Genomic DNA, 21789 nt, shown 5'->3' with positions numbered 1-21789 from the left:
GCCCTGTCTCCAGGCTATCTCTTCAGTGCTGGTGGGGCACATCAGGAAGTGACAAAAAATGTGGCACTGCACCTGCATCCAGAAGCTGGCTGTGTGGTTCATCTACAAGATTGGGCCCTTTCTGCACTTGAACATAGATCCACTTCACCATAGATGCCTTCCACACTGTCAGTGAGCTCTTTGCCCATCAGCCCAGGCAGGATCTGGACCCAGTCATGGACCTGTTAGTGCTGTCTCAGGGACACCAGACCAACATTCTGGACATCATCCACGTACACAAGGAAGCTCTTACCAGAGTCCTCCTCAAGATGGCCTGTGGTCTGCCTCTTGGCACCCGAGAAGCCCACAGTGCTGTAGAAGCCCCGATGCTTGGACTGGAGCCCCAAAGGCGGCACACACCCCAGTTCTGAGCCTGCTGCAGGGGGGCCCATGGTCCCCCTCCCCTCCCAGGGCTCAGGATGAGGTCCGACTGGGACAGAATGCTTTAGGTATGGGACTTGTGCCCCAGGAGGGGACCTCTGTCACACACGTTGGGTGAGAATATGTATGGCATGCTGCTGGCTGCCAGGGCTGTTGGGATGCACGTTCACCCTTCCCTTCAGGGACCTCAAAGTGACCAGCTTCCCCTTTATGAGTGACTTCCCAAGGCCCAGGAGCCATTTGGGGCTGCAGAGCAGCTGGCTGCATGCTGCCCTGGCTTCTTCCATGTTGTGCTGGTCACTACCTACCAAGGGGTGTCAGATGCAGGCACAATGTAGGACGATTGTCTCTGGGCCTGTGTCTTGGTTATCATGGAGCTAGACTGGGCCTGGTGACAGGGCCCTGATGGGGTTGTCCTGTGTTGTCACGGAGGTGATCAGGAAAGATGCAGAATGGAATTGCTGCGAGGATGAATGAGATGACTGTCAGCACATAACAGGCAGCTGGTGAGTGTTCAGGGATTACCCTCAGTAGCTGCCCAGAGACCAAAACCATCCACCTGATAGTGACTTTTCCCAAGCCAGAAGGAAGAGAAAAGAGCAGGTCCCACTCACCTGAATCTGATCAGTGAGCTGTGTTGAGATGTGCCTCTCATCTAGAAAATGGTCCTTCACGCAGAGCTACTCACAGACACTGCTGTGTGTCTCTAACTGCTCCACAACACAGAGGCGATGGGGACTCAGCAACAGTGACATTGTGGGGTGACACAACCCACCACCATGGGAGTCTGCTTGGGTCAACAGGGCCCAGAGTCAGTGTCCTCTATCCCCTGAACTGACATGTGTGTATGCAATGTATTTGTGTATGCATATGTGCCTGTGTGTGTGTGAGTGTGTATGTGTGTGTTTGTCTTGCTTCTCTGGACAGGCCTAGCTTCTCCACTCATGGGTGCACCCAGTTCCTCATCACTGTCACCTTAGAGCATTAGAGCCTCTATAGGTGCTCCCCAATCTCTGCCCTCCCCACCCATGGTGGTCCTGGGGATGCGGACAGAGGAGGGGCACTGCATAATGCTGAGAGGGCTGGCACCCTCTCTAGGTGGAACACAGGTCATTTGTAAAGTTCTAGGTCTGCCAAGCAGTATTGGATTCAACACATCTTCTCACCTTCTCTTTCCAGCCACCCTCCAGGGTGCCCCGACTCACTTTCCCTGCAGATGGAGGCAAGGAGGCTCCACAGACAACCCCCCTGCCTGAGGTCACATAGTGGCCAGCAGGCCAGGTACTGACAAACTGCCCCTGACCAGGTTCCCAGTGATGAGTGATGAGACCCCTAATGACCACTCCTCCATTGACCAGGTCCCACTGATCAAGTCCCCACTGACCATGTCTTCCTAACCAGGCCCACACTTAATAGGCCTCATGGGCCAGACCCCACTGACCAATTTTCCACTGACCTGGTCCCCATTGACAAGACAGGGTTCCCACTGACAAGACCACAATTTACCAGGTTGCTGCTCAACCGACCCCCCACTGAACAATTCTCCATGAACGAGTACCCAGCTGACTGAGCCCCCTCTGACCAGGCCCTCACTGACCAGGCTCCAAGCCACTAAGGCCCCACACTGACCAGGCCCGTGATATATTGTGTATGCCCCACCAACCAGTTTTTCATTGTTTATGTTCCAACAGATCAGGCCCCACTAATAAAGCCACCACTGACTAGGTCCCCCCACTGACCAGGCTTCCAATGACTAGGTCACCAGGTCCCCACTGATGAGGCCTTTACTGAGGAGGCTGCCACTAACCAGGCCCCTGCTGATCAGGTCCCAAATGACCAGGTCCTGATGACCAGGTCATCTCTGACCATGGTCCACTGACCAGGCCTCGGAGCAACGGGGTTCAAAGTCTCATTACAATGTCCCCCTCAGCTCATAGACCCTCCCTCCCTGCATGTGTGCCCAGAGGTCAGGCCCTGGGGTTTTTTTTTGGGACGTGGCCTTTCCTCCAAGACACAGGGAGAGACAGTTGGCCTCAGGCTCCAGGTTCCCAGCTCCACACTCACCCCAAAGGCCCTCTGGGCCCGTCTCAAAGGAGAAAGTGAGGTGGCCTGACACTGCCTGGACACACCATCTACCCTATTCCTGAGTGTCAGGGTGTGAGGAAGGGAGGGACATTTGGCAGATAAGGCACGCTGTGCTGTTGGGTCTCTCAGGGCCCTTCCCACAGAGCCCCGATCTAAAGACAGAACACAGAGGCTACAGGAAGACTAATCCAGAACCTCTGAGACAGCCAGGGACCACATGAGGACTCTCCCCAGACAGCCAGAAGGCCCTTTGCTAGTTTCTTGGTACTTCAGTGGATGTGGCAGTGGTTCTTCTGTTGGGGACCAGTGAGTACACACTGGGGAGGGCTCACCTGTGCTTCCTCAGTGGCTCCACCTCTGCTTCTAAAAAAAATGACTCATTCCAGAGCTGGCGCAGAGAAAATACAAGCTGAGCTTAGAACATCTTCTGCCAGAAAGTAAAAAAGTGCCGACAGAGTAATGGAGACAAATCAAAGAGACATAAAGTCAGCTTGGAATGTCTACTACTGGCCTAATCTTGGGGAATTGGAGCATCAGAATCATGAGCTTTCCTTCTCCCTTATTTATTGGTTTTATTTCTCCATGTAGAACAAAGAAGAGAATAAGAAAATAATCATCTGGTAACCATCATAGTAATAATTGTTCAAACACAAGTCATCCATGAAATGCTAAATCTAGTGGGTTCTGAGGAGTAACCAGATATTTACAGAGCCTCAAAGTATCTCCATACAAAATACAGTTGAACTACAAAAAGAAAATTGTAACATTAACATGGACAAACCTGGCAGGTACTCCTTAACTCTCCTAAGTAATAAAAACTGTAAAATGCAAATAAGCCTTCGATGACCTTTACTAACCTTTACTAAAGTATCAGTGATGACTTGGTTGTTTAAACAGCTGACATTTGGGCAATTTGAGTATGTCAAACTCAATAATACTGGTTTTCATTTGCAAGATCCACTTAAAACTTAAGGAGGCCAAAAAACATCATTTAAAATACCCTATAAATTATAATCATACATATGATACAAAAATATCCTACTTCAGTAAATATTGGAATGTTATATATTTTATGAGAAACAATTAAAATGTGTAAATAGCCCAGTAATAAAGTTTTATAATCTTTTAAATCATCATAGAATTTTTCCTTAAGACTTTATGGTTAAATATTCTCTTCATTAGATGTGGCTTACCCGTGGATTCTAGAGAAGAAAGTAGATGGGAGCAAGTGTCCAATACAGCAACAGCTGGAAAGAAAAATAAAGAATTTTGTTCTTTACCTAAAACACTTCAGTTAACTAAGTGTGAGTTTAAAAACTAAAGACTTGAGAACTTTATCAGAGTTAATAAGAATGAGAAATATGTATGTACATTTACAATACAAAATTACTATTTAATAATTTACACATGGCATTAATTCTAATTGTGTTTAAATATCAGAACTTTTTCAGTCTTCATTCATGTAATCAACAGCCACATGCTAAGGTACTAGAACCAGCACTGGAATTACAAGATGAAGATGGCATGGTCCACCTCTCAACAGTCATAAGCTATAACCTAAAAAACAGACAGGCAGACAATGTCCATATAGAGTCATAGATACCGTGACAGGTATACAGCAGGGCACTACTGGAACACAGAGAAGGGACATCTACCCACTTTTATGTCAATATCATGGGCTTTCTGGTGGAGGAGATAACATAGGTTGATACCTGAAGGACAAGGAAAAGCTTCCCAGATAGAGGAAAGAGGCAAAGGCAAAGAGCCTGAGGTGAGGAAGAGCCCTGCAGAGTTCCACTCCATCCAGTTTGGTGCTAGAGCAAAGGGCAGAGTGCAGTAAGTGGTGAGAAACAAGGCTGAGTAACTTGGCAAGAATTACATTGACATGGGTGTTTTTATTTCATGGTGAAAAATTTGGAACTTTTCCTGAGAACAAGTGTAAGCCAATGACACATTAAATTAGAGGAGATTTAAAATGTCACCTGTCAAGTGACTGCTTATGAAGGGTTATTGCTCAGCTAAGTATTTCTGAATGAGTCTTAGGTCTGTTGGCCTTCAATCTCTACCGAAACCCTGAGAACTTGATGATGCTTTTGTTTTCTGAGAATCGTTTCAGTGTGCTGGCTGACAGTTCCATGAGGATGGCAAAACTTAAGAAACTGTAAAGCCAGTGAAAAAGAGATGCACAGACTTCTTGGGAACTGTTTAAGCTTAGGAACATGATGAATTTATGGTGCATAAGTACAGTCTTCTCTGTGAAAGTTTTTGTTTTCACATCTTTCATTAGATGTGTGTAAGAAAAAAATATTGATGTAGTATCTACTAACCCAAGAATGAAAAGGAATGCCATTTGCTATTTACACTTTATTTCTAAAATAAACCTAAATTTAATTAATAAATTTTGTCAACGTACTTCTCTTTGTTTCTCTAATTATTTATTCTACACAGTCCAGCCCCATCTAAAATAAGTAAAAATAATAATAATGTCTAAATTAAACAAGAAACATTATCATGAAAATCATGTATCACTTACAAAATGTGGCCTTTAGTATTTTTAGTGACTAGACATAACTTGAAGTTTGCTTAAATAGAAAAATAATCACATAAATAAAATAAAATTTCTACTTATTTTAAGTTTAGATAACAGAGGATGTATATGTGTAATGCTGTTTAGAGTAATCTGACAAAAATGCAGTTAATATTGATCTATTGCATATACATGATTTTAGAAAGGTAGTGTTTTATTAGTACAAAGGTTAAACAATGGCCAGGCATGGTGGCTGATACCTGTAACCCCAGCACTTGGGGAGGCCAAAGCAAGCAGATCACAAGGTCAGGAGATCGTGACCATCCTGGCCAACATGGGGAAACCCCATCTCTACTAAAAATACAAAAATTAGCTGGGCGTGGTGATGTGCACCTGTAGTCCCAGCTACTTGGGATACTAAGGCAGGAGAATTGCTTGAAGCCAGGAGGTGGAGGTTGCAGTGAGCCAAGACTGCACCACTGCACTCCAGCCTGGTGAGAGAGTGAGACCCTGTCTCACAAAAAAAAAAAAAAAAAGATTAAGTAATTAAAGCCATCTTTTGCAATGAATGCATTGCTTTGAAATTCTTAGAAAACTCTGCCCTTTATAAAAGTTTAATCCATTTTTTACTTCAATAAATTTTATCTTAAAAAGAAATTTCTGTTCTCTACTTATAGTAAACTTTTCTTTTTTTTTTCTAGTTTGTATTCTAAATTAACGTGGTACCTCTGTAAGTTTCTTCCAAAGGCATATTGAGGGATACCGAGGTTTGCAGTACAATTAAACCCATCACACAGGTTGTGAGCATAGGACCCAAGAAGTAGTTTTTCAACCCTGGCCCACTCTGTCCCTCCCCATTCTTATTTCCCAGTGTCTATTATTCCCACCTTTATGACAATGTGCACCCAATATGTAGCTCCCACATGAGTGAAAACATGAGATATTTGGTTTCTGTTTCTGCGTTGGTTTGCTTAGGAGAGTGGATTCCAGCTGTATTCATGTTGCTGCAAATGATGTGATTTTGTTCTTTTCATGGCTGCATAGTATTCCATGGTATATATGGAATTTTCCAATCTACCTTGGATTTTCAATCTACCTTGGATGTACCTGGATTGACTCCACGTCTTTGCTATTGTGAATAGTGCTGCAATGAACATACATGTGTATACATCTTTTTGTTACAATGATTTATTGTCCTTTCGGTATACCCCTAGTATAGTAATGGGGTTGCTGCATCCAACAGTCATTCTTAGTTCTTAATTTCCAAACTGCTCTCCATAGTAGCTGAATTAATTTACATTGCCACAAACGGTTTGTGTTCCCTTTTCTCCACAGCCTCCCCAACATCCTTTTTTAAGTTTTTATTTATTATTTGTTTTTAACAAAAGTCATTGTGACTGGTGTGAAATGGTATCTCATTGATGTTTTGTGTGGCATTTTTCTGATGATTAGCAATGGTAAGCATTTTTTAATGTTTGTTGGCCACTTACGTGTGTTATTTTGAGAACTGTCTGTTCATGTCCTTTGCCCATTTATAATGGTCTTATTTATTTTTTGCTTGTTGATTTGTTTAGGTCTCTTATGGATTCTGGATAATAGGCGTTTGCTATATCCATACTTTGTGAATATTTTCTTCCATTCTTTTAGGCTTTCTGTTTAATCTCGTGATAGTTTCTCATGCTGTGCAGAAGCTATTTAGCTAAATTAGATCACACTTGTCAATTTTTGTTATTCTTGCAATTGCTTTTGAGGACTTAGCCATAAATTAACTGACAAATATGATATCCAGAAGAGTATTTCCTAGGTTTTTTCCAGGATTTTTATAGTCAGAAGATGTACTCTTATGTAAAGAAAGCACAAACCTTTTTTTTGTTTTGTTTTGAGACAGAGTCTCCATCACCAAGGCTATAGTGCAGTGGTATGATCTTGGCTTACTGCAACCTCTGTCTCCTGGGTTCAAGTGATTCTCCTGCCTCAGCCTCCTGAGTATCTGAGATTACACATGCCTGCCAACACGCCTTGCTAATTTTTGTATTTTTACTAGAGACAGGTTTCATCATGTTGGCCAGGCTGGTCTCAAACTCCTGACGTCAGGTGATTCACCTGCCTCGGCCTCCCCAAATTTTGGGATTACAAGTGTGAGCCACCATGCCTGGCCAAGCACAAAGCTTTTAAAATAAAAAGGGAAATGAACATTTTAGTGTTTTGTTTAATTCATAAAATGCAATTATTTTGGATTCTACTAAATAATAAACATCCATATGTGGCAAAGTGGATGCTAATCATTCAGTTGTGATTATGGGTGGGAAGAATTGAGATGGTGCAAATAAACTTTTTTAATTTTTTTTTTATTTTCAAGATGGAGTCTTGCCCTGTCACCCAGGCTGGAGTGCAGTGGTGCAATCTCAGCTCCTGCAACCTCCGTCTCCCAGGTTCAAGCAATTCTCTGCCTCAGCCTTCCTAGTAGCTGGGATTACAGGTGCCCACCACCACACCAGGCTAATATTTTTTTTTGTACTTTTAGTAGAGTTGGGGTTTCACCATCTTGGCCAGGCTGGTCTTGAACTCCTGACCTCGTGATACACCTGCCTCAGCCTCCCAAAGTGCTGGGATTACAGGCATGAGCCACCACACCTGGCTGGTGCAAAGAAACTTTAAAAGTGGCATGGGCCGGGTGCGGTGGCTCATGCCTGTAATCCCAGCACTTTGAGAGGCTCAGGCAGGCAGATCACAAGGTCAGGAGTTCAAGAAGAGCCTGGTCAATATGGTGAAACCCTGTCTCTACTAAAAATGCAAACATTAGCTGGGTGTAATGGTGGGTGCTTGTAGTCTCAGCTACTCAGGAGGCTGAGGCAGGAGAATCACTTGAACCCGGGAGGTGGAGGTTGCAGTGAGTGGAGATGGCACCAAGACACTCCAGCCTGGGTGACAGAGTGAGACACTGCCTCAAAAAAAAAGAAAAAAAAATGTGGTATGAACCACAGCTAAACTATAATCAATTAGAGAGTAAGCCAGACCATCTCAAAGTATATCATCACTTATCAGGCAATAACATGCAATTTCTAAAACCTAACTTAAATGCAGGTTTTAAAGACATTTCAAACATGTCAGTTTAGTCACATTTCTTGAATAAAGTTAGCAAATGGATATCTCTTGAAAATGAGAGCTCCAGGGAATTAAAAAATGTAAAGTTCCCATTTCCTTTCTGTGTTAACACAGCTAATTATGATCTTTACTTCACATGCAAAAGTCAACAGAACAACTCAGTATTTCACCAAATTATAAACAAGAATTACGCTAGAGAAATGAAACCCTAAAGAGAAACGGTCATATAACTAACCTCAGTCAAGTAGTTCTGGCAGTTATTTGAAGTCTGAGGTTTGAAGTAGGAATTCTTACGGGCATTTGGGGAATATATTTTCTGTTGAGTCCTATACTAGTAAGATTTTCAACACAAGGTGACTCTCGACCTCGCCTTGTAGGAAGAGTGCTGAGAAAATATTTCACCTGCTCTTTCTCCATAAAGAGCTGATACTGATCATTGCTATTTTCTTATTCGATCTGTAAAGGTAGCAAAGACAAATGCTTAATATTTCATTTTTCCTTAAATGATTCTTAATGACTTGCAGTTTTTAAAAACTTACCCTGAGAGTAAACCACATTACCCACTAAATAGTGTTTTCACACAGAAGATGTGTAAGAGCATACCTGTTGTAAGGAATTATAATTTTAAAATCATTCTAAAGAAGCACCATTGTTTCTAAGGTGATTTCTACTGAACTAGCAGTTCAAACAAAGTAGACAGGGAAGAGAAATGGCTATCAGTGATGTATGGCTCAACAGGTAAAACTTCCTGCCTTCTAAAATGGCTGTACTTGGAAGATTCTGAAGATTCCATTAGAAATACTTGTATTTAAAGGGTAATAATGTGGGAAAATGAATATGTTGATTTGCTTGATTATAAGAACCACTTCACTAGAAATAATTATATCAAAACATCATGTTGTACTCCTTAATGTACGTTAAGAAAACTAAAATGAACGAAAAAAAATCTAGGAACACTTGTGTTTAGTAAACCAGTTTTAGATTTCACTCTTGTACATTTCACCCATTATCTAGGACCAATTAAACATTTGGCACTGAGGAATAATTCAGAGCAACAACTCCTAGGGGAGAACTAGATTGTCTGGTTGGTGATCAAAAAGAATTAAAGCATCTCTGAAGGCAATTAGTCCCCAACACTGTGACCAAGGCCCTGGAGGTGGGGCATGTTCTTTCTGCCTTCCACACACCGCTTCAGGCTGAACAAGGTGTTATTTTTTAACCGCTTTGTGAATTACACTTCTTTAAATTCCTGTGATAATTATTCCCTATTTCACAAGGGTGCCTTTCTGTAACATCTTGAATATGTTACACAAATAGTCTTTCTTGAGGCACCCTCTGGTGATAATACTAAAGATCACAATCAAAAACAATTGTGCCCAGAGTAGAAGTACCACTTTGCATTTAGGTTGTGATCCACTGAAAAGTAAATTAAACACATTAATATTTCTATTTAGGGAAATTCTGACAAGTAATTTTATAACAAGGTCACTTCATTGATTATAAAGCTTCAAAAATACTTAGTGAAAAAAACTAACAGATCAGGTTAATTACATGAGACTTTTCAGGAAAAAAAGCCATACAAAAGCAAAAAAAAAAAAAATGAGAGGAGAGACAAAAACTATCTTTGACTAACATTTTAAAGGTAAAATTATTTACTAACATTATTTTTCAAAATTACATTGTCAAATTAGCATTCACTTCCTTCTAATCTGAAGCCATCTCACTAAAAATTATGCTTTTGAAACAAATTAATGAGCTTAATTCATTTTCTATGAGTGTATGTTTTGACTTACTTAGTTAATTTTTTTGACATGGAACTGTTAGCTTTCAATGCTGCTGTAAAGGCTTCCTTATATTCTTCTAACTCAGTTGTAACCTCTTCATAAGCAGTTTTCATTTTGTAGAATTTACATTCCACATCTTTAAGTGTGAGTTCCTTCTTATTTAGTGAAGCTGTATTATATCCTTGTTTAACTGCTCTAATTGTTTTTTATATTGTGCTTGTTCCTAAAACAGAGGAAAAGAATACACTTTTAAAACAATTATAACCTAATTATTATGTTTGTTGCCTTTCATTTTGAGTCAGCGATTCAAAGAGTATTTTTGAATATGTTAAAAAAGAGGATGAAGTTTAAAATATTTCAGCAATATCAAAACTAATAACTGAATTCAGAATTAAGTCTGATTTGTAAAAATTTGAAATCATAATTATGCTAGTATTAATGTAATCTGGTCATATAAAAAGTAATAGAATCCATTCATAGTTTTAAAAAGTGATCAATGAACACTGTAGCTTAAGACCAATTCATAATTATCACATAATTTCTAAATCACAATTTTTTCCTATGCCAACTGGTCTTAATCATCAAATTACTCCATAATGAGAATCATTACTCTGAAAGATTGATTTTGTTATAATAATAATGGAAATTTAAATATTTAAAAGAAAAAACAGATACCATTTTTTTCTAGAACTCTACAAAGCAGATTGCTACAAGAGAGGTAATCTCTCTCTCTCTCTCTCTCTCTCTCTCTCTCTATATATATATATATATATATATCTCCAAAATATAATTTGCAGTGAAATAAATGAAAGCACATTACAAGTAAACTTACCTGATTTAAACAACTCACCTGTAAATGGATTTCTTCTAATTTTTCTACTGCCTGCATTGCCCTTTCATCTAGCTCTGATTTATATTCTTGTAGTTTACTAAGTTCTACCATACTGTTTTCCATATGTGTCTTAAGATTTAATATTTCTTCTTCCAACATCTTTTTATCCTCCTCAAGTTTTTCACATTCCTGTTGTACTTTTTTCATAGATAATAACTCCTGTTGAAAAACTTGATTCTCTTTAGCCAAATTGACACATTTTGAAGATACAGCTTCCTTCTCCGCCATAAGATCATCAAACTGCATGAATAAAATAGTATAGCTTGATAATGAAGTAGGCTGAGAATAATCTAATACAAAACCAATAGCAAATTTTGAAATGCATTTACTTGCAATAAAATGTTATCTGTAATGCAGCAGATTCTTCAAATGTGAACCCTTAAATTACTCAGAATTTTAAGAACAAAGTTAAAGCTACCATGAGTCATAAAAATATATTCTTTACTATCATCATCTTTGCCACAGAATTTTTGTACTTCATTTTACTTTTATTTTTCTGATAATTCATTTTTGTTCCTCCTTAAATGGCACAAAGTTATCTCCTAGTAAAAAGTGTCTAACCCCCTTCCTTCATTATCATTCCCCACAGTATGTCAAAAAAAGTTTCAGAGATATCATATTGAGTTATTTAGGCCAAAGTCAATAAATGGGTCTAGGAATAAGACTTTGAAAGTGATATTACACTCTATATTAGGCATGGTGGCTCATGCCTGTAATCCTAGCACTTTAAAAAGCTGTGGCAGAAAGATCACTTGAGGCCAGGAATTTGAGATCAGCCAGAGCAACATAGTGAGACCCCCATCTCTACAAAAAAAAAATTTTTTTAATTACCCGGGCATGGTGGCTCATGCCTGTAGACCCAGCTAGTTGGGATACTGAGGCAAAAGGATGGCTTGTACCCAGAGTTCAGGGCTGCAGTGAATTATTATCGCTGCACTTCTGCCTGGATGACAGACAAAGACCCTATCTCAAAAAACAACACAAAATAATGAAATCTATGATTAAGGATTCTGATGCTATAAGCCTTTCCTTAAACTGCAAATGTTTCATGCTAATTTGAATTGCATTTTAAGAAGTAATGATTCTTGGGGTAAAGACCATAGAATATGGCACCCAGAAATAAATTCACATATTTCCAGCCAACTGATTTTGGACGAACATGCCAAGAACGTACGCTGGGGAAAGGACAGCCTCTTCAAATGAATGACACTGGGAAAACTAAATATCCATATGGAGAAGAATGATATTAGCTTCCTATGTAACACCATATAACAACATAAACTCAGAATCGATTGAAGACTGAAATGTAAGGCCCAAATGTATCAAACTACTCTAAGTAAATATAAGGAAAAGGCTTGAGGACATTAGTCTGCACAAAGATTTTTATGGGTAAGACATCAGAAGCATAGGCAAACAACAAATCATAGACAAAAGACACTACATTAAGCTAAAGAGCTTCTGTCCAGCAAACAACTGAGTGAAGAGAAAACCTGTAGAATAGGAGAAAATATTGTCAAGCTATTCACCTAATGAGGGACTAATATACAAAATATACAAAAAAACTCAAACAACATCACAGTAAAAAAATCTGAGTTTAAAACTGGGCAAAATATCTAACTATACTTTTTTTTAGAAAAAGAAATACAAATAGCCAATAAATAAATTTTAAAATGCTCAGTATCACTAATCCTCAGGGAAATACAAATCAAATCTACAATGTGATATAATCTTGCTTCAATTTGAATAAATTGCTGTCATTGAAAAGACAAAAAAAATAACAAATGCTGGTGAGGCTCCAGAGAACAGTAAACTCTTACATGCTGTTGGTGGGAAGGTAAATTAGTGCAGCCACTATAGAGAACAACAGGAGGTTTTCTCAAAAAAACTAATAATGGGACTGGCGAGGGATCCAGCAACCCCACTACCGGGTATTCAGGCAATAGAAAAGAAAACAATAGATCAAAAGGATATCTGTCCTCATATGTTTACTGTAGCACTATCCACAACAGCTTGTGTATGGAATCAACATACATGTCCATCACCAAATGAATGGATGAAAAACTGTGGCACACAAACACAGTGGAATACTATTCACCATATAAAGGAATTAAATCCTGTTATTCGTGGCCATGTGGATCAGTCTGATGGATGTTAAGTGCAGACACAGAAAGATAAATACTGCACATTCTTACTCATGTGTGGGAGCTAAAGGAAAATTAAAGGCTGGGCAATATGGCTGATGCCTGTAATTTCCTAGCTCTTTGTAAGACCAAGGCAAGAGAATCATTTGAGGCCAAAAGTTCCAGAGCTCCCTGGGCAACATAGGGAGATATCTCTACAAAGTCAAAAATCAGACATGTGCAATGGTGCATGCCCATAATGCCAGCTGCTCAGGAGGCTGAGGTGTGAGGATCTGATGGGCCCAAGAGTTTGAAGCTGCAGTGAACTATGATCAAACCACTGTCTCCAGTCTGGGTGACTACAGTTGCCCAGAGCCCAGACTACACTAGCAAGACCCTGTCTCTTAACAAAAAAAAAGCTCACAGAAGTAGGGGAGGGGAGGCTGGTTAATGGATACAGAATTACAGTTAGATAAGAGGAGTGAGTTCTGGTGTTCTGTGGCATTGTAGGGTGAATATGGTTAACTATGACTTATTGTATATTTTTAAAAAGCCAGAAAATTTTGAATGTTCACAATTCAAAGAAATGAAAAATGGTTGAAGTAGTAAATGTGCTAGTTAGCTTGATCATTACACACTATATACGTGTATAAAAATATCACTCTATAGCCCATAATTATGTATATATGTGTCAATTAAAACAAAAGAGAAGCTACATTCATCCCATTTAAAAAACAGAATATGGGCCAGCCTTACTGACTTCCTTCTAATGAGTAGAATGTAGTGAAAGGGATACCATGTGGCTTCCCTATCTCAGACTGTTTTCCCTTGGAACCCAGCCCCTATTGTGAGAGCCATCAGGCCACAAAGAGAGCCTGAAAGTGCCTGTGTCAGTGTTCATGCTGCCTGTCCCAACCAAGTTTACAGCCGATGGCCAGCATCAACCATCAAACAAGTGGGGGACCAAAGCTTCAGAGGATTCCATTTCCGCAACTGATCAGCTGTTCCTAGGGAAGCTGAAGGGAGCAGAGCAAGCTGTCCTGGCCAAGTTTTTCCCAAACCACAGGTTCATGAATAAAATAAATGTTTTTCTTTCAAGCCACAAGACTCTGGGTAATTGTTAGGAAAATAAGTTTTAAAAAGAGACAACAGGAAACATAACTTATGCAGCAGAAAAGAGTCTCCTTTAAAGCAGGATCTAATAAAGGTTGATATTTATTTATTGATGTCAAACATTATTGAGAAGCAGTAGATAACCAGGAGAGAGACATAAGCTGCTGAGGAGGAATTTTCCTAAAACAACTTCAATAATGAACGCTGATAACAAGGCAAGGGTGTCTTCTTACAATTTCCCCTCAAGTTAGGAAGTAAGACTGGGAAGCAAGAAGATGTATGATTTGAAAAACAACTAGAAATACTGGGTGACATAGGCAAAATCAGACATTTACCTGATTTCAATTAACTAAAATTCTAAAAGAAGAAGTTTTGAGTATTTATTAATCAACCTAGTATTCAATTTTCATTTTCTTTTCTAAATGAGGAAATAAGGAGAATATTATGGAATGATTTTTATTCTTCACAGAAGTAAAATAAGCATAGTGTGTTTTGAGTGTTAAGACACAAATGCAATTTCTCCTTTACCTTACTCCAAGCTTGTTTGTATGGAGAAGTTAAGACCATCCCATCTCTATGTTATGCCACAATGCTTCTCTATAGCACACAACTTGGCTCTGAAATTTTGAAAGTCAAAATACTAATCTACTATGTGTCTCTGATAAATTGCCTGAACCTTACCTGACTTTGAAGTGCTGCACTCCTAAGACTTTTTCTTGGAATGAGTTAAACGTTTTATTCCAAGAATCCTCTACTGAGCTAGAAAGCAGAGCTGTGCATCTCTGTTTCAGTAAAAGGAGGTCAATATAGGGAACTGTGGTTTCTGAGAATGCAAGATCTGCACTAATAAAAGGATTAGCCACAGTGCTACCCAAGAGAACCAGCTACCAGGAGAAAAGAGGGTCTGTAAACTGCAAGATGATGACTTCACTTGATTTCCACTGAGGAAAGCTGGCGGCTCAGACTTAAACTTCTCCTTCCTAGATGGTAGACATCTATGGAAGGTTCTATGAATTATAATGAGTTAGTAAAACATAATGCACTGAATATTAGACTATGTCAGCAGATCCTGTAACCAAAACTTACTGAAAATATAACTATAGTGGGAGGCAATGGAAAAGAGACTAAAGGCTTGAATGGAGAAAAAAAGAAATTAAGTGTGTCTTGTAAGCCTGGCGTCTGATCATGTCTTAGAGGAAGTAAGGTATAAGCTGGCCAGAGACTCCTTTGTGACACAAAAGGTGAAGTTACAGACATTCCACTAAATTTAATTTTTATTATGACATAAGACAACTGGTAATATGCAACATGATTGAAAAAAACTTCTCATTCAATTCGATTGGGCCTTGACATAAGAATAGACATAAACAAGCTAAGAATTGACAATCTAAAAATAAGCCTGCACTTTTACAGTCAATTGATTTTATACAAGCTTCACAAAAGAACAAAATGGGAAAAGAATAGTCTTTTCAACAAATGGTGCTGGGACAACTGGGTATCCATAAGCAAAAAATAAATAAATTTCGACCAAATATCTTATTTAATAATTAACTCAAAATAAAATAGTTAACTGTAAAAGCTAAAACTATAAAACCCTCAGAAGAAAACACTGGCATAAATCTTTGTGACTGCATTTGCCAGTGTTTTCTTAGCTATGACTCCAAAGGAAAAATGGATTCAATGGACTTCAAAATTGAAAACTGCTGTGCCTCAGAAGACAGCATGAAGAAATGAAAAGGTAAGACGCCAAGTAGAAGAAAGTATTTGAAAAGTGTGTATCTGATAAGGGACTTACATATATAGGAAATATAAATAACTCTTGCAATTAATAAATAACAAGATAAGCCAATTTTAAAAAATGGGCAAAGATTTTGAATAGATATATCTGCAAAGAAGATATAAAGATGGAAAAGCACATTAATAGATGCTTAATGTAATTAGTCATTAGGAAAATGTAAATCAAAACCACATGTGGTATCACTTCACACCACAGGATAAAATCTTTGTTCAAGAAAAAAGAGTGTCAGGAAAAATGTAAAGAAATTAAAACCCTTATCTAATGCTGCTGGGAATGTAAAGTGATGCAGCCACTTTGGAAAACAAACTGGCAGCTCTTTAAAGGGTTAAGCATGAAGTTACCATATGACACACAAATTCCAGTCATAAGTATATACTCCAGAAAAATAAAAACATACGCAAGCACAAAAACTCATACATAAATGTTTACAACAGCATTATTAATAGTAGTCAAAAGGTGGAAAGAACCAGAACGTCTGTCACCTTTGGCTGGGAGAGAACCCAAAGGTCCATCACCTGGCGAATGGATAAATAAAATGTTTGATGTATCCATACAATGGAATATTACTCAGCAATAAGAAGAAATTAAGTACAGATACCGTATTAGGAGGAGACAGCAAAATGCCTAGGCAGATACGGAAGGGTCCCCGGAGAATCTCCAACGAGCCCCACAAGTGTTTACACCTGATGTTATGTGCAGATAAGGGAACCTGGACTTGTCTTGCCTGGACATGCCCACAGCAGACTGGAGGCCCACATGCAGTGGGGGGATGGGGTGGAGTCACCAGGAATTCACACCTTATGCAGAGGAGGAGCCTGGCCGCTTCAGCTCATGTGCTCCTGGTATTCAATTGTGAGGTGGAAACCTCTTTGCAGGACCCCTCTCTTTGCTGAGAGCTGTGCTTTCACATAATAAATTCTGCCCTCCTCAATGTGTCTGCAGGCTTAATTTTTCCTGGTCATGAGAGAAGAACACAGATGTAGCTGAACTAAGGAGCAAAAACCCGGCATCAATACCTGCTACAGCACAGATGCAGCATGAAAAATTATGCTAAGTGAAATAAGCCAGTCCCAGCAGACCACTTGCTTTTTATTTCAGAGGCTTATAGGCAAATCTATACAAAGAAGGTGGGTGGTTCCCTAGGGCTGAGGGAGGAAGGGAAAACTAGTGAAGATGGCTAAATGATGTGGGGTTTGTTTTTAGGGTGATGAAAATGTTCTAAAATTAATTGTAATGATGACGGCATAACTCTCTGAAAATACTAAAGTTAATGAATTCTATACTTTAAATGAGTGAATTGCATGGCGTGTTCATTATTTCTCAATAAACCTGTTACCCCCCACCCCAAATTAATTTGGTACTAGAGATCTGCAGATAGGTACTGCTTGGTTTCAAATCACTGGCCAGGGTTCAAGGTCTAAGAGAATCAACAACATGTCCTTTTTATAGAAAAATAGATTTATATTTTACAAGCTATCCTTTTCATTAGTATCAAGTCTGTAAAATTCAATGAAAAATCTTTCTTTCACTGCTTAAAGCACTGACAGATTTATATAGAGGAATAAGACCTTGTTTTCCTTGGCCCTAATTTCTATCTAAAGGGTCTGGGAAACACACCCTTCAAACTATCAAATCTCATCAGATGGGTTTTATTAACACTTATAATGTGGCTTCCTTTCTAATCTGATTCTGGTGCAACATCACAGAGAGAAGAAGCTGAAGGAAATCAAAATAATTTACCCCCAAATATATTGTTTGACGTATTTTGAAATGGCTGCTGCAGGGCCAAGAGATTGAAATGGCCCTCATTAAGGTAGCCCAATCTCCCCTTCTAGGTCTTCCCAGATCTGGGGAAGATTAACTAAAAGCCTGAGGCATTTAAAGTTTGAAAAGATATATTTACTCTCTATTTTCTCAACATATTTTGGCAGAATTTGGATTTTTCCATTATCAATATTTTCCAAAATGCATGATTTTTAATACCAAAACTGATTTAAAATTACCATACGTTGGAATATAAATTATTCTATTATAAAGATACATGCATTTGCATGTTCACTGCAGCACTATTCACAATAGTAAAGACATGGAATCAACCCAGATGGACATTATCAGTGATAATGGGATAAAGAAAATGTGGTATATATACACCATGGAATACTATGGAGCCATAAAAATGAATGAGATCGTGCTCTTTGCAGGGATATGGATGAACCCGAAGCTGATATCTTCAGCAAACTAATGCAGGAAGAAAAAACCAAACACTGCATCTTCTCACTTATAAGTGGGAGCTGAACGATAAGAACACATGGACTCAGGGAGGGGAACAACAAACACTGGGGCCTGTTGGGGTCAGGAGGGAGAGCATCAAGATCAATAACTAATGCCCACAGGGCTTAATATCTAGGTGATGGATTGATAGGTGCAGCAAACCATCATGGAACACGTTTACCTATATAAGAAACTTGTTGGCCAGACTGGTCTTGAACTCCTGACCTCATGATCTTCCTGCCTTGGCCTCCCAAAGTGCTGGGATTACAGGTGTGGCCACCATGCCTGGTGGCTATTTCTCTTTTTAAATTCTCTCAGGACTCCTAAAATCTCAAAACTTTGACCTAGATTCCCTAATCTACATTTCCAGCTCTGACCATTTTCTTGAGGTCTCTTCCTTCTAGTACCCATATTATAGAAAATATTCTCAACCACATGCTCATACATTGCTAATTGGTGCAGATTACTTTTGTAGATAGTGAATGTTGTCTATTTTATGTTGGTTCTCATTAATGTTACTTTGAGTATACTGTTATTTTCTAATCTCAAAGGGGGACTATCTCACTGTTATGATACTAACCAGTATACTTTGTCCTTTTTTTCTTGCTTTCTTCTTTTTTGGACCAGTATACTTTGTCCCTTTTTTTGTTTTTCTTTTTTTCTTTTTTTGATGGAGTCACACTGTGTCATCCAGGCTGGAGTGCAGTGGCACCATCTCGGCTTACTGCAACTTCCACCTCCTGGGTTCAAGTGATTCTCCTGCCTCGGCATCCCAAGTAGCTGCGACTACAGGTGCACACCACCACACCTGGCTAATTTTTGTATTTTCAGTAGAGACAGGTTTTCACTATGTTGTCCAGGCTGTTTTTGAACTGCTGACCTCAGGTAATCCACGCACCTCAGCCTCCCAAAGTGTTGGGATTACAGACGTGAGCCACGGCACCCAGCCCTCTTTTTCTTTTATGATGAAAACTTTCCCATGAGAATCATATTATCAATTGTTTGCCTTTGTTTTCTTTTAAAGAAATTCCTTTTCCATAGAGATATGGCATGATGAAAGTCTTGTTCTAAAGTTTCTTTTGGGGGACATTTAACTATGTCATTGGGAAGCTTCAGTAAGTAGAGATCTCCCTTCTTCTCACTCAAGATTCTTCATCTCAAAATGGTGTCCACCAAATGTCTTAACCCAGTTAGTCTTTTGTGTAGAAATTCATGAAATAAGAACCTTCTTGAGAAGTTGGAGGCTAGTGATTGAGATGGTTTAATGCTGCCCCTTATTATATGTTTTACTCCCAAGGTAGACATCAAAGTGGCTAATAATTCTATGACTGATGTCTAACTCACTTCTAAGGGAATCTATACAAAACGTTTTATTTATGAGACAGAGTCTCCCTCTGTTACCCAGCCTGGAGTGCAGCGGCTTGATCACTGTTCACTACAGCCTCAATATTCCAAGCTCAAACGACCCTCCTACCACAGCCTCCCAATGTAGCTGGGACTACAGGCGTGCACCACCATGCCTCAGATAAGTGTTTAAATTTTTTTTTTTTTTTTTTTTTTTTTTTTTTTTTTTTTTTAGAGACAGGGTCTCACTATATTGCTCTGGCTGGTCTCAAACTCATGGGCTCAAACGATCCTCCTGCTTCAGCCTTCCAAAACCAGGTGTTTAACTGGGGACTAACATGAAACACTTAGAAGACTACGTGGAACATAGTGAGCTACATAAAATATTTGCTATTAGCATAATAATTTTATTGTATATCTTAACAAAATTGTGTATTTTAGGCAGGTGGCATGCCAATGGAAGTACTCTCCTATAGCTGCACTGAATCATTCTTACCACTGAGAGTTGCAGCAAATGGGGGACATAATTTATAACTTACTTTTCTCTCTGTATGACTCATTAGGCAATGACTATGTATGTACTACAATGTAAACAGCACCTCCTGGATTGAATAGTACATAACTGACATGACCAGCAGAGACAGGCTAAAGACACTGAGCTGAAAACCCTGGACTCTATTGCTAAATCAAGGCTCCTGAATCCGTTCCCTCTGAGCAACTGTTGCTGTGGTGCTGCCTTCACAAGCACTCTGCTGAGCACACAGATTGAGGGGCTGTGCTATCCGTCATCGGACAAGCTGCACCCAGAACTGTTCAGCTGACAAACTGGTAGCAGTCCAGAAACACAGTTCTGCTGCATAGTGAAAAAAGGCCAATTTACATTATTTTTCATAGAGAGAAAAACATAAACATGTGATTGAACGAGTCTCCTGTATTAGACTAATTGGGTTGGCTTTGATATTTAATTGCTAAAAACACACTTAGAATACAAACCTTACTGTGTCAAGGTCTCAAAGAAGAAATAATTGGTATGGTATAAAGTATTGAATTGTATGCTACAAACTTCTAAGCTAAAATATTTTCAATGTATGCAAGGATAGGTGGCATACATATTATATATTATTCCCCCATTAAGCAAATTTATAATGAGAGAAAACTATCTTCCATAAAAAAATAAAAGCCATGTAAAATTAAGAACTAAGTTTTTCTGCACAGACTAGACAACGATTGCTAACACATGAGGTCAATGAGAGAACACTCAGAGAAAGCTTCATGAAAACAATAAATTGTCTGCCACGTCTGAGTGAATGAGGCTAGATGAATAGAAACTGAGAAGGCAGAAAGGATAGCATGAGCAAGACAAGTGCTGAAATCTGCCCAATTAACTCTGAGGATAAAGTCCAATGGCAGAGAAATAAAAACGCTTGTCCACATAATAACCTGTAAGTGAATGTTCGCAGCAGCATTTTTCATAAGAGCTAAACAGTGGAAACTAACCTAAAGGTCCATCAACCGATGAATGAATGGAAAACCAGTATAGACATGGAATAGAATATCACTTAACTATAAGAAGAAATAAACTACCAATGTGTGCTAAAACATTATGCTAAGTGAATTCTGAAAACATTATGCTAAGTGAAAAAGCCAGTCACAAAGGACTACGTATTGTATAATTCTATGTATATGAAATAAGCAGAACAGGTAAACATATGGAGACAAAAGTAGATAGATGGTGGTTGCCTACAACAGAGGTAGGTGGAGGGACATGGAGGAAGGCTGCAGTCATGCCTAGGAGATGTGGGGTTGCTTTTCAGGTGATGAAAATGCTGTGAATATACTAATAGATACTCAGTTGTACATTTTAAATGGTTGAACTCTCTCAAATGTGAATGATATCTCAGTGAAACTGTCTTTAAAATCCAAAGGCAGGATCAAGATAATTTTCTCAACTCTCAATTTTTGATGTACATGTTATCTCAAATTTAAATATTTCCACAGTTTTATAGTATATTTTAAATAAAAGATAAAGAAAATGCCTAACTTTTCAAATAGTTTGTAAATTAACCTAAAACATGCACTTTTAAAAGAATAGTATAATGGCCTTTCTGTACAAGTTAACCTAGAATCTGTGAAATAAATAGACACAGATTCTGTGTCCACTCACAAAAGTGAAGAAATAAGACAATTTTCTGGAACATTCCATGAAACATTCTTCTCTGATTTAATCTGGCCTGCCTCATCAGAGCAATACAAAAATTACTTAAAAATACTGTTTTAACAGGACAAAAGTCAGTTTTCTATGAGGAATGATGTATAATTCTCAACTTTTT

The 21789-nt window shown here is 38.9% G+C and overlaps 2 long non-coding RNA genes and 1 pseudogene across 7 annotated transcripts in view; 1 reads left to right on the top strand and 2 right to left on the bottom strand.

Moving 5' to 3' along the window:
• The window catches only part of SNX18P17 (sorting nexin 18 pseudogene 17), a 950-nt pseudogene extending 821 nt beyond the window's left edge, over positions 1–129 (bottom strand).
• Positions 1–20025, bottom strand: part of LOC107987401 (uncharacterized) — a 27734-nt gene extending 7709 nt beyond the window's left edge. Inside the window, exons 1-4 of one of the 6 annotated variants that reach the window (XR_001756176.3) lie at positions 16443–20025; positions 8373–8593; positions 2838–3752; positions 487–1207 (exon numbers count right to left, since the gene is read on the bottom strand). This is a non-coding gene — a long non-coding RNA (uncharacterized LOC107987401). Of the gene's footprint in view, positions 1–466; positions 8594–9930; positions 10761–16442 lie in introns of those variants that run through there. The other 5 variants (XR_001756178.2, XR_007068559.1, XR_007068562.1 and 2 more) reach the window with 5 other exon arrangements.
• The window catches only part of LOC105379566 (endogenous retrovirus group K member 18 Pol protein), a 61897-nt gene extending 40108 nt beyond the window's left edge, over positions 1–21789 (top strand). The window contains exon 5 of the long non-coding RNA XR_001756184.2: positions 20023–21789. This is a non-coding gene — a long non-coding RNA (endogenous retrovirus group K member 18 Pol protein). The remainder of the gene's footprint in view (positions 1–20022) is intronic.

The sequence above is a fragment of the Homo sapiens genome, unplaced genomic scaffold (genome assembly GCF_000001405.40).
Source record: "Homo sapiens unplaced genomic scaffold, GRCh38.p14 Primary Assembly HSCHRUN_RANDOM_CTG42".
In the NCBI taxonomy this organism is placed as follows: domain Eukaryota; kingdom Metazoa; phylum Chordata; class Mammalia; order Primates; family Hominidae; genus Homo; species Homo sapiens.
This window is presented reverse-complemented; position numbering and strand designations above follow the sequence as displayed.